The 13,186-nt window shown below is 41.8% G+C and overlaps 1 protein-coding gene across 4 annotated transcripts in view, besides 3 other annotated features; it reads left to right on the top strand.

Moving 5' to 3' along the window:
- Window positions 11,913-12,202: a silencer, noted in NCBI's record as "silent region_11499". NCBI's record gives its function as "represses an Ori minimal core promoter by ATAC-STARR-seq in GM12878 lymphoblastoid cells {active_cell/tissue: GM12878}" and the evidence as "EXISTENCE:reporter gene assay evidence [ECO:0000049][PMID:35858748]".
- Window positions 12,263-12,312: a silencer, noted in NCBI's record as "silent region_11498". NCBI's record gives its function as "represses an Ori minimal core promoter by ATAC-STARR-seq in GM12878 lymphoblastoid cells {active_cell/tissue: GM12878}" and the evidence as "EXISTENCE:reporter gene assay evidence [ECO:0000049][PMID:35858748]".
- Window positions 12,313-13,186, top strand: part of CCDC88A (coiled-coil domain containing 88A) — a 132,015-nt gene continuing 131,141 nt past the window's right edge. For all 4 annotated transcript variants that reach the window (NM_001254943.2, NM_001135597.2, NM_018084.5 and 1 more), the window contains exon 1: window positions 12,313-13,152. In NM_001254943.2, coding sequence (NP_001241872.1) covers window positions 13,090-13,152 — 63 coding nt within the window. In that variant the 5' untranslated portion in view covers window positions 12,313-13,089. The remainder of the gene's footprint in view (window positions 13,153-13,186) is intronic.
- Window positions 12,343-12,412: a silencer, noted in NCBI's record as "silent region_11497". NCBI's record gives its function as "represses an Ori minimal core promoter by ATAC-STARR-seq in GM12878 lymphoblastoid cells {active_cell/tissue: GM12878}" and the evidence as "EXISTENCE:reporter gene assay evidence [ECO:0000049][PMID:35858748]".

Genomic DNA, 13,186 nt, shown 5'->3' with positions numbered 1-13,186 from the left:
AACCTCCTGTCTCAGCAAAGTTCAAAAAAGACAGTATTAAACTTGTGACAAACAAAAGCAGTAGAAGTTGAAACTATAAAACATTAGTAGGAGGAGCTCCTGTCTGGTTTCTCTGCCTACAGTCTCACCTCTTTCCAATCCCCCTACTATAGTGCTGCTAGAAATTTCTTCTAAAGGAGAAATCTGATATCATTCCCTTGATTTTTTTTTTTAAAGCTCAGTTGTACTCTACGACCAATAGGATAAAAGGCCAAGTTCTTTAGTGTGATATTTGGGTTTCTTCTTAATATGACTTTAACTTTCATTTCTCACCATTGTCCACATTTGGAAACTTCTTTAGCCACGTCAAGCTACTCATGGCTCCTCAGACACAATATACTCTTCTATACCTTGATGATGCTTTGCTTTGGTGGTTCTTCCACCTGAAATTCCCTGTACTTCCACTCCCCATTAAACACTTACTTATCACTCAAGGCCTGGCTCAAAAGTCATCTTTCTGTGGAGACTTTCTTGACTTTCCATTATTGAACCTTGTTTCTCCCACAAATAGCATATACTACAGATTGAATTGTTTTAGAATAATTAGTTTGTATTCCTTAGCAGACTACAAGGTCTCTGAGGGTTCATGTGTCAAAAGGAAATGTCTTATTCATCTTCATGTCTCCAATGCCTAGTATGCAGTAAATACTCATAATGTGTGTTTGTTGAATGAACAAAGAAAAGGAACTAAATAGAGAGTTCTCATATTGGACAAAACACCTTGTGTAAAATTTTAGACAGACATTGCAGCTAAGGCTTGTAGATGGTGCTTCTCACAAGATCAGGAAGCATCAGATGTTACCAAAAGATTATTTTTGAAATATATAGATGTTTTTGGAGAATTTTAATTTCCCTATTGCCTCTTAGCAGCCAGATTTTTTTTGTAGTATAGTTAAGATGGAGGTTCTTTGGTGCAGAAGTACAGGGATATTATGTTACTTACAATTTAGAGAAATCCTGGTTGCACGAGGTCACCTATTTCTAAGCCAGGTGGAATTCTACTTTCCTGCTTCTCTGGAGACAAGGGATGATCTACAGTCTGTGTGTACTTGGCATACTCAATAACCAATTCCAGTCTCATTTATGTCTGTTTGCTGAGATTAGCGTTCACACAGTGACGGAAGAAGAAGGTATTCCTTTCATGATTCTACCTCAGACTTGTACACTGCAATACATTTAAAAACACATGATGTATATACCAGTAAGTAGACACAGCTGATGTTTTGCAGAGGTGATCATTGCTATACCATCTGCCAGGTTTTGCAGTTGGTTTAAAAAAAAAAAAAGAAATTAGTTCAGCAGGATTTGCTCTTCACAAAATCATGTTGAGTTTTGCCAATTCTATGTAATTTGATATGCTCTTGCTAATTGAGTAAGAGAAAAATGCTTTCACATTGCACTGCAGGAAAAATATGGCCATTGTCCTTATGACCCTTGTTAAAAAAAAAAATTCGGTCATGAGTTAGATAGGGTTATAGTAAATAAAGGTGAAAATAAAAAAGACTGAGACAGCTGAGTAATTCAAAATTGTAACTAAATCAAAACTGTTTGTAGCTACCATAATAAAATTGATATACTACTGCCATGTCTTAAACTAAACAGAAGGAGGAGGTTAAGATCTAAAACTAAGAGTAGGCTGCCTTTTGGGATCGAAATAAATCCAGTCCAGAGCTTGGAGGTCTGTCTACTAGTAAATTTCCATAAAAAGTGTGTAGGAGTTTGTGATACATGACACAGATAGTTTCTTCCTAATTCAGAGTCGAAATCCTCACATGATGAATGTATTGCAAAAGATAAGCAATCTAGCTGATGATTAGAAAAAAGGATTTGTTAGGAGACTTTTTGGCCCTTTGTTTTTTTTGTTTTGTTTTGTTTTGTTTTTTGTTGTTGTTGTTTTTTTGAGACAGGGTCTCACTCTGTGGCTCAGGCTGGAGTGCAGTGGTGTGATCACAGCTCACTGCAGCCTCGACCTCCTGGACTCAGGTGATCATCCCACCCCAGTGTCCCCAGTTGCTGGGACTACAGGTGCATGCCATCATGCCTGGCTAATTTTTGTACTTTTTGTAGAGCAGGGGTTTCACCAAGTTTCCCAAGCTGGTCTCAAGTTCTCGGGCTCAAGCGATCCTCCCGCCTTCCCCTCCCAACGTGCTAGGATTATAGGTGTGAGTCACTCTGCCCGGCCTACTATGTTAATTTCATAATGATTGAAAATTAATTAATTCAACAAATTTATATATTCCACTAATACAGAGCACATACTATCTGCAAGACACTGCAGGACACTGATACTATATATTTGTCGGTTAAAATAAAATTGTTGGCCAGGCACAGTGGCTCACACCTGTAATCCCAGCACTTTGGGAGGCAAGGGCAGGAGGATCACTTGACCCTAGACCCTATGTGTTGAAGACCAGCCTGAGTAATGTAGTGAAACCCCATCTCTTAAAAAAAAAAAAAATTAGCCAGGAATGGTGACACACACCTATAGTACCAGCTACTCAGGAGGCTGAGGTAGGAGGGTGGCTTAAGCCTGGGAGATCAAGGCTGCAGTGAGCTGTGATCATGCCACTACACTCCAACCTGGGTGATAGAGCAAGACACTGTAAAAAAAAAAAATTAATACCTTGCAGCAATCGATCATAGATGTTGACCTATACGCCATAAATTTTATGGCAGTTTAACATTCTTATCAGCTGCCTCTGTCTCTTCATGACATTTTACCAAAAGCTTAAGCTTCTGTTAAATTGAAAATAATTGCCTTCTTATATGACTTTCAGAAAATCTACAGAAATGGTTCTAGGTGTTCTCCACACCTTTCACATGCAGCTCTGTGCTACACAGTCTTCTACTGGGGCTTCTGGTCCCACTGTCTTCTGTGCCCTGAAGGTTGACCTCTATGGACACCATCATATGGGGCTTCTTATTCTTTACTTCCAGGGGGTTCAGCCAGAAGGGAAGCACTGGCCTGAAATATAAGTGAGGAGGATGGAGAGATTGGGATATTTATTTGCCTTTCTTCTGCATCATGATTATGGCAGTGGCTCCACACTGTATGGACACAGTTCCTATTTAAAGACTCCTCTTCCAAGGCTCCAGGTCTTTCAGGGTTCTGGCAGCACAGTTTCCTCCTCTTGCCCCTTCAGGCCTAGGGGTGAGAAGTGCTCCTTGCTATCGTTCATCCTTGGGTGGTTCCCTGCCCCCATGTTCATTCACTTACCTTCTCATGCCTCTCTAAATCATTCCTTCATTACTTTCTTTTCACTTAAATGCTTTTTTTTTGTCTGAAGCAGCCTAAAGTTAAACACTTTAAGTGTGCCCTCTGCTTCCTGCTAGAACTCAAGAAGACTAGAAACAAACAAACAAAAATTTTATATACAGAAGAAAAGTTATCAATGGTAACATGCTGAAAGAATGAAAGCAATTCGAACTATATCTGAATCAACAGAGTAATGAAATTCAGCTTCCAAGGAGCTTGTAGACCATTTCTGCAATTCCAGAAGGTAACTATATACAATATAGTTGGATAGTTTATTTAATTATTTGTAGTCAGTTAATTCACAGGGAAGAAAGTCATTCCTGTTTTTTGTTTTGTTTTATTTGCATCCTATGCATTCAACAAGGATAGAGCCGCGCCTATTTCTTTGCCTATAGTGTATGGCTGCTTCTTGCTACAATGGCAGAGTTGAGTCATTGTGAGAGAGACCTTATGGCTCACAGAGCCTAAAATATTTACTATCTGGCCTTTTACAGAAAAAGTTTGCCGACCTCTGAACTAATTGATTGAATGATATATAGTTTGTAGTTTTATTTCTTTTGGCCTCATTTAGACACAGTCTTTTGTGCTCAGTATGCTTATCTTATACATATGGTGGTTCAATAAATATTGATTAGTGAAGAAATTGGGAATGCACTGACAAACTTAGAACTCATGACCGTCAGTTTTGTGATAAACATGGAGAACATATTTTAATTTTTTGTAAGATTTATTAGCCAAATTGTATACATGATTATAGGAATTTGAACTCTGATTTTGTAAAAATTGTTAACCTGGGTTGGGTGTGGTGGCTCACACCTGTAATCCCAGCACTTTGGGAGGTGGAGGCAGGCAGATCACTTGAGGCCAGGAATTTGAGACCAGCCTGGCCAACATGGCAAAACCCATCTCCTACTAAAAATACAAAAATTAGCCAGGCACAGTGGTCCATGCGTGTAATCCCAGCTACTCGGGAGGCTGAGGCATGAGAATCACTTGAGCCTGGGAGGCGGAGGATGCAGTGAGCCAAGATCGCGCTACTGCACTGCAGCCTGGGCGACGCAGCGAGACTCTGTCTTAAAAAAAAAAAAAAAAAAAATTGTTGACCTGGCAGTACTACGCATTTAGTATATGATAAATATCATTACTAAAAATGCATTTGAATTCTATTTATTGATTAATTCAAACTGAGAGGCATGTTCAGCCTTGTTTCTGTTTTTGTTTAGAGACAGGGTCTCATTGGGTCACTCAGGCTGGAGTGCAGTGGCACAATCATGGCTCACTGCAGCCTTGACCTTCCGTCTCAAGCTATCCTTCCACCTCAGCCCCCTGAGTAGCTGGCGTTATAGACATGTGCCACCACATCTGGCTAATTTTAAAATTATTTTATAGAGATAGGCACTCTGTCGCCCAGGCTGGAGTGCAGTGCCGTGATCTCAGCTGACTGCAACCTCCATCTCCTGGGTTCAAGCAATTCTCCTGCCTCAGCCTCCCAAGTAGCTGGGATTACAGGGACCCGCCACCACAACCGGCTAATTTTTTGTATTTTTAGTGGAGAAGGAGTTTCACCACTTTGGCCAGGCTGGTCTTGAACTCCTGACCTCAGGTGATCCACCTGCTTCAGCCTCCCAAAGTGCTGGGATTACAGGTGTGAGCCATCACACCTGGTCTATTCTTTTTTATGTTTTTTCTTTATGTGTTGTGGATTTTTTTTCCAAATATGACGATGAAATGTATTATTTTTATGAGAAAATAAAATAGTTTACAAAATATGCAAAATGGTAAACCTAATGTAACTGAATATTTTATATTGCTATTTTAGTTGAAGAAACCAAAGACAGATCTTTACTTTAAAAAATTATTGCAATAAAATTGAGTCTAAGAACTCTTCTCAAACTGATATTTTAAGAAAATAATCAATTAGCATGTATTGATTGAAAATTAGGAAAAAACATTTAAATTGTAAATTTTTAAAACGTTTCATGTGAATTTTAACTTTTCAACAGCAGAACATCAATTACATAGTCGCTTAAGAATGTATGCATTTCTAAATATCTTCCTACTACCATTCACCAGAAGGAAATAAAATATCTTCAGATATCCTCACTTGTAATGTTTATTATAATCTGTAATTTGTATTTTTTAATATGGAAGCAGATCTTTGCTTTTCCTATGGTTCAAAGTATTTAATTGTTTTAACTCAGGCTTATTTTCAGTACCCTTAAAACTACCAATGGTTCTTTATGTGGAAATCTTTTTGCTCATTTATCTTAAAGGGAATGCTGTGTGAAAAATTTAAGTCATGTTCTAAAGATGGTATTATTATACCCAAGAATGCCCAGTTTGTGTTTCTTTTATTAGAAGGTCTTAAGCTTTTGTGTTATGCTATTCATCAGTTATAATTGTGATCTTCACCATGAGGAAAGTGCCCATTACATGGAATGTTTATGTATTTTATTAATGATCCATCAGGTGTTCTGCCTAGGTTCTCTTTCAACTAGGTATTGCTAATGTCTGTCTCTAAGATGTAAATAGTTGAATAGTAGAGGTTGGGAATAGGCTTATGATTAGAATAGAAGAGTTAATTTTTTTTCAACTTCTAGAAGTTTGTTTTACAGTATTTGTCCTTTTCTGCGCATTTTTATTTTCTCCTCTATAACAGAGGTCCCCAGTCCCTGGGCTGTGGACCGGCACTGGTCCATGGCCTGTTAGGAACTGTGCCGCATAGCAGGAGTTGGGTGGCGAGCCAGCATTACTGCCTGAGCTCTGCCTCCTGTCAGAGCAGTGGCGGCATTAGATTCTCATAGGAGCGGGAACCCTATTGTGATGAACTGTGCATGCAAGGGATCTAAGTTGCGTGCTCCTTATGAGAATACGATACCTCGATCTGAGATGGAACAGTTTCATCCTGAAACCATGCCCCCTCCCTGCCCAGGGAAAAAACTGTCTTCCACAAAACCCGTTGCTGATGCTAAAAAGGTTGGGGACCACTGCTCTATAAGGTTTTCATTTGCTTAGTATCTTTCCGGTAGCAGCATATTGTTTTGTTTTGTTAGAGACACACTGTGTCGCCCAGGCTGGAGTGCAGTGGTGCATCACAGGCTCACTGCAGTCTCCACCTCCTGGGCTCAAGCAATCCTCTCATGTAGCTAGCTGGGACTACAACTGTGCTCCAACGCGCTCTGCTAATTTTTAATTTTTTTGTAGAGATAAGGTCTCACTATATATATTGCCCAAGCAGCATCTTAAGAGGAAATGAGTCACTGCCTATTGCTTAGATTTGAAGAATTAAAGAAGGAACAATGTCAACACAATGACTGACTATGTGATAGGCCAGTCACACCCTGGAAATACTTTGTAAGTGACCATTAACATTCAGAACTTTTGCAACACACCATAGCAAACTAGTTAAATAAACTGAGTAGCACCACACTTACCTAAATAAAGACCAAGAAACTGAACGTAAGCAAAAACATTATACCAAGAGACACTTCAGGCCTATCACAAATCCATCAATTCTACTCCCTGAAGAGCCTATCAGGACTTCACTCGAAGACTATTAATTCTTTCAGAGTGTCTTAACAGTCGGTGTATTCCTAGCATCCAGAAAATCAGAAGCAGCATATTTGGCTGGGGACTATAGGTAGGTGGAGATACTGACAGCCACAATAGAAGATAGGAAAACTATTCAAAGTAAAATAAAACTCAAAACTTAGTTATCTGGAGACTGTGAATGCACCCTTGCACTTTTTTTTTTTTCTTTTTTTTTGAGACAGAGTCTCACTCTGTCACCCAGGCTAGAGTGCAGTGGCACGATCTCGGCTCACTGCAACCTCCACCTCCTGGGTTCAAGTGATTCTCCTGCCTCAGCCTCCAAAGTAGCTGGGACTACAGGCGCCCACCAGCACGCCCGGCTAATATTTGTATTCTCAGTAGAGATGGGGTTTCGCCATATTGGCCAGGCTGGTCTCAAACTCCTGACCTCGTGATCCGCCCCCCTTAGCCTCCCAAAGTGCTGGGATTACAGGCATGAGCCACCACACCCGGCCACACCCTTGCACTTTTGAGAACCTCTGAATTGATCACAACATTAAAAGCACCACACAATCAATTAGGTCAAATGTAGCGATACAATTAAAAGACCAATTTAAGTTCAGAATATACTGTTCAACAAAGCTTAGATACATTTTTACAAAATTTCCATCAACATGATAAAAAATAAAAAATAGTTTGAGTGTTGAGAAGGATATATGTCATTACATGCTGACTGAGAAATAAAAGATGATATGATGTTTATGTATTCCTCTAAGCTTTTCTCTGAAAAAAATTTACTTGGAAAAAAGCTCTCTTGGAAGCTATTTATTTTATGACCTCAATGTCCTGGGCAAGACCTTTGGTTCTTCAAATTCACTGGCAAGCAAGAATCTAGCTAATGCCTCCTCAAGGTCATTAGTTAATGAAACCGTTTTCAGAAGTCACTCTGCTGTGAGCTCTTGCCTATTGTTAGGAATTTATACTAGTCATCGTGGTGTGAGGAAGACTCTGATCCACTGACTGAGAGTGCCCTCCATTGCACGGCACTGCCCTAGACCCAGGGACATAAAGATGAATCAAGGAGAAGTAATTGCAGGCAAATACATGCCATTTAGAGCAAGTTGCAGAAATGAAGGGAAGATTTGATACTATGCAGGCACCAAAAGGAGTGGTCACCTGAGTCTGAAGTAGAGGAATGCTTCATAGAGAGTTAACACTTGAATCCTGAGCGATGAGTGGGAGTTGGCCTAGCTAGCAAGCAGAAAAGGGTATTCTGGACAGGGATGGTAGCATATGCAGAGGCACAGGCATATGGGATATTACTGTGAATTTGAGAAGGTTCACTTTGGAACACAGAAGTAGGATGTTTGAGAAGAGCAATTGATACTGGCCTGAAAGGAGGACCCCTTCTCTCTTCCCTGTCTTATCTTTCCAACTTTCCTCTCCTCTCCTCAGTTGAGGTACAGGACAGAGCAACGAGTCCACTGGTCTCAGCAGAAGTCCAGTAGAGAATGAAATCAGTGTGCTCATTCCCTACTGGGGAAACTGATGCTCAAAAAAGTTAAGCAACCTGCCTAATTTCTCTTTCTCTCCCTGTATTATATTTCCTCTTAAAACTATCTTGGGTAATTAAAATATAAGCCTTCTGTGTTCCTAGGTGATTTAAAAATCTTAATTATTAGATCAAGGCACCCTTTTAAAAAGTCTATTAGAGACTAGATTTCTTGATGACTTAAAAAAAATCTTCATGAGGCAATGGTGCCATTCTTTTTTACAAAGGTTTATTGAGACATAATTCACATTCCATACAATTCAGCCATTTAAGGTACACAACTCAATGGCTTTTAGTGTATTCACAGAGTTGTGCAACCATCACCATGATCGTTTTAGAATATTTTCATTTTCTCAAAAAGAAATTTCACATCCCTAAATCATCACTCCTATTTTCCCCCAACTTTCCCCCAGCCCTAGGCTAATCTACTTTCTGTCTCTATAGATATGTCTTTTCTGGACATTTCACATAAATGGAATAATACAATATGTTGTTCTTTATGACTTTCACTTAGCATAATGCTATCATCCATGTTGTAGCATGTATTAGTACTTCATTATTTTTTATTGCCAGATAGTATCCTATTATATGGATATACTGCATTTTATTTATTCATTCATCAGTCCATGGACATGTGGGTTGTTTCCACTTATTGTCTATTATAAACAATGGTGCCATTCTGCTGCTGCATTTGTGGTATTTTTCTTGTACTAGCTTACGAATGTGATTACCTTTGCAAATCCGTACTTAAAAATATTTGTCACCAAGGAAACTGGTTCTGGATGAGTCTATCACTTCCTATAGTGTAGATCAAGATAGACATGGGTAGAAGTTCATATGGGTGCTTTTGGTACATGGGTTGTGTTATTCATATGCAACCTGAAGGAGAAAGCCTCAATTGTGATACACGGGAGACAGTCTTTCTCTAGAGATTTCTAAATGGGACCATGGTCCTTTCTAACCATTTAGTTTCAGATTAGAAGACAGCTGAGCAAATAACTTACATCCTAACCAGGTGGGTATGATTTTTCCAAACTCCTTTCATGCTGGATTTAACCTTCCAAGAAAGGATGCATTCAGGACACATAAATGACTACAAAGTACAAAACAAAAGTATTTTGAAGAAATCTTAAGAAATTTCTTCCTAAGTGAAAGGTGGATAGGAAACTTTTGGATTTAATCTTACAGGATGTTGCAATTCAAAGACCATTAAACTGGGTATAATGTACAATCCCTCTTTAGCCAGACAGAGAAGATTACTGGTTGTACTCTTGAGATATTATAAAGCATTTTTAAGGCTGCTGTTAAACTAGGGAATTGTGAATTGGTAGGTTTTCAAATAAGTTCCTCCAGACCTCAGTCTGGTCTAAAGTTTCCTGTTTTTACAATTAACTCCTCATGTTTCTTTGTTGAGTGTGTGTGTGTGTGTGTGTGTGTGTGTGTGTGTGTGTGTGTGCGCGCAAAACCTAAAGATAGACCAGAAAGCATCTGGGGCCATCTGGCTCTAGAGAAGAATCCAGATTTCTGTGAGGGCTGGGTACTAAATTGCATAAACAATACTATCTTAATGTATGACTCCTGTGCTAACCCTTCAGTCACCACTTCAAAATGCCCCTAACCTGCTGTATTTGGTGTTAATACTTTTTGGTTTTTCGCCTATGAATGAAGCAGATTGATTTGTCCTAGGATAAACCCAGTATAGGCATAATTACTTCCATATTGTTTTGTCAAGCGTCTGGGGGATTACAAAGAAAAGTGGGTATGTCAAGCACTGGGCTGCTCCTGAAAGCAATGCTGTCTCCTTGGTGCCCACTCTCCTTCTGTCTGTATTTCATTTGCCAAATAAAGAACTGCTATTAAGAAAGAGTTATCAGGCCAAGCGCGGTGGCTCTCACCTGTAATTCCAGCCCTTAGGGAGGCCGAGGCGGTGGATCACTTGAGGTCAGGAGTTCGAGACCAGCCTGGCCAACGTGGTGAAACCCCGTCCCTACTAAAAATAGAAAAATTAGCCAGTGGGTGGTGGCGGGTGCCTGTAATCCCAGTTACTTGGGAGGCTGAGGCAGGATAATCGCTTGGACCCTGGAGGTAGAGGTTGCAGTGAGCTGAGATCGTGCCACTGCACTCCAGCCTGGGTAATAGAGACTCTGTCTCAGAAAACAAAACAAACAAAAAAAGAAGGAGTCACCAAGCCAGGCGTGGTGGCTCACACGTCTCGTCTCAACTGCTAGGGAGGCTGAGGTGAGAGGGTCACTTGAGGCCAGGAGTTTGAGGCCAGGCTGGGCAACACAGTGAGACTCCCATCTCTAAAAGGCTTTTTAAAAAGTCATCAAGAGCAGATGGAAAAGATTGCTAGCAACAAGGATGTCTGAAGGCTTGTGTACTGGCTAGGGAAATGCAAGGTTCTACTTGTACATCACCTAGCAAAGTGCCACATGAATGCATCCTAATTTTAATTAAGATGATTTTCAAAGGGCATTTAGTTCCCTCCTCAAAGCAAGATCCTTTCTCCTGTAACTGAAGCAGAGAGGTTATATTTCAAGTTTTTCATAAAGGTTCTTTATTTTGAAGGAATAATGTTAAAAACAACATTAATGACATTTATAGAACACTTAACTATAAGCTGCCATTTCATTTAACCCTATTATTAGCCCTGCTTTACACGTGACGGAATCGAAGCACAAAGAGACTCAATAACGTGCGTAGGCTCACACAGCTGGTGCATATTGGAACCAGGCAGGAAGACTTCAGAGTCCAGGTTCTCAACTACCCAATTAAGAAATTCTGCTCTTTCTTAACTGTGTTATGACAAAAACATTTTTACTGCTAATTTAAAATATATACTCCGTGTAAATATTTATGTAATGTAAACATAGCACACATTATAAAACTATAATATTATCTTTTATCAAAAAAAGATTGCGTTCTATATGCCCATTTTACCCCGGGAAAAAGGTCTTTATTTTCCTTTGAAATGAGGAGTAGCATTTGATTTTGCCAGGGAACTTAAAATTATTTCAAGGTCCCAGTCGTACGTGGCATGGAGATTTATGACAAATATGTAATCTGTTTATTTGTCACCCAACTTGGATGACTTCTAAATGTTTCTTCTTTGTAGCTCTTGATTTTGCTTGGGTTTCCCCCGACCCATGCCCAAATAGTAAAAAACAAAACAAAACCAAAAAACAATGTCTGAGTCATGTTTGCTCCAGTCAGGGAATACCAACGTGCTGACAGACAGCTCTGGTTTTTAAAAAATCTTACTGTATGTCACTTGCAACTTTGAAGAACATTCATGCGTTAGTGGACTGCATTTGGAAGAAAACAAAAAGGAGAAAAAAACCCCCACCAAGTTGTGGCTCAAGTCCCTCTGCCATTTGCTGCAGTGAGTTTTCCTATTCCATTTTGCTGGGGAGAAGGCATGCTTTACAGAACACATCAAACTGTCCGAAAAAGGCTGTCTGCATCCCTCATGTTTATAAGAGAAGGATTTCTTTCCCCTTCCTTCACGTATCAAAGAAGTCACTCGGGGAGGAAATAAACCATAATTAGGCATGAGCGAGCGAGCAGACAGACCCCTTGCTCTGCCTTCCCTGTCCCCGCCCACCAGGCAACCGTCCTGGGCGCAACCGAGGAGCGGGTTGTCTCCGCAGCAGCTGCAGCGAGCGCGCGCCCACGCCCGAGCCCGCGCCCGCCGCCAGGATCTGGGCGGCGGCGAGGCTAGCCCGGGGGCGCGCTCGCTCGGGAGCGCGCTCATGCAGCGGTTTTCTTCTCCCACAATCCAGAGGCAGCTGCACGGGAGGGGCGGGGAGTCGGCGGAAGGATATCGGCGCGGAGGGAGCAGCGCGCTCCCTTTGACGGCGGCCCCCGGCATTGGCGGGCGGCGCTGGCGGGCGGCGAGGGGTGGGGTGTGATGCGGCACTGCGGTTCTGAGGCCGTTACTCCGGCTTCTCCATAGAGGGCGGAGAAGGCTGGAGCGCGGCGGTGATTTTGTGCCAGGGATTCCCAGAGACGCGCTGAAAGGCTGGCAGGGCTTAGGAAGCTGGGGGGTTAGGGACACACATTCAAGCCCCCACCCCCGGGAGGGGAAGGGGGCTGGAGGCGAGGCTTGAGGGCGGCGGAGGAATGGTGTCTGCTCGGGGGGAAGGGGCGAGCCCTGCCTGTTGGTACTGAGGGGCTGCGGGCAGTGGAGGCTCCGCGGGTCGAAAGCGGCTCCATGCCCATCGGTGGGTGGAACGTGTAGAGGTCGGAACGCCGAGGTCGAGTCTGGTGGCGCCTCGGTATCCTTAACGTGGTCTCTGTTTAACGTATTTCATTTAGCCCCCGTTGGGATTGATTCATTGGGAGCAGTTTCGCTGGTCTGGATCCTCCAGGAGCTGGACAACCTTGACGGGCTTTTTGTCTTGGGTTCCAGCCCCCTTTCCCTTCCTCCTCCTCCAGATGCCTTTTCTCTGCCCCTCCTCGCCCGGTACAGACATTTCCAGCGCAGGCTGCTGCTCGTGGTGTCCGTCGTCGAAGCCACTTCTTGGGATTTCGGCTCGTTTCACTCTGGGGTGTTTTTTGAGGAGGGAGAGTGCCCCCCTCCTCCACGATGGGATTTTTCTCCCTTGCCGAAATGGACTTTCATTGATTTCTACTTACTTCCACGTTTAGTGACCAATTCCCTAGGCGTATTTTTGTGGTAGTTCCTTTTTTCAAATACATACTCTGTAAAATGGAGAACGAAATTTTTACTCCCCTTCTGGAGCAGTTCATGACCAGCCCTTTGGTCACTTGGGTAAGTGGGGTGTCCTTTATTGTATATTTTGCTG

This window comes from Homo sapiens, chromosome 2 (genome assembly GCF_000001405.40).
Source record: "Homo sapiens chromosome 2, GRCh38.p14 Primary Assembly".
Taxonomy (NCBI): domain Eukaryota; kingdom Metazoa; phylum Chordata; class Mammalia; order Primates; family Hominidae; genus Homo; species Homo sapiens.
The sequence above is the reverse complement of the archived record's forward strand: the minus strand, read 5'-3'. Positions and strand labels throughout refer to the sequence as shown.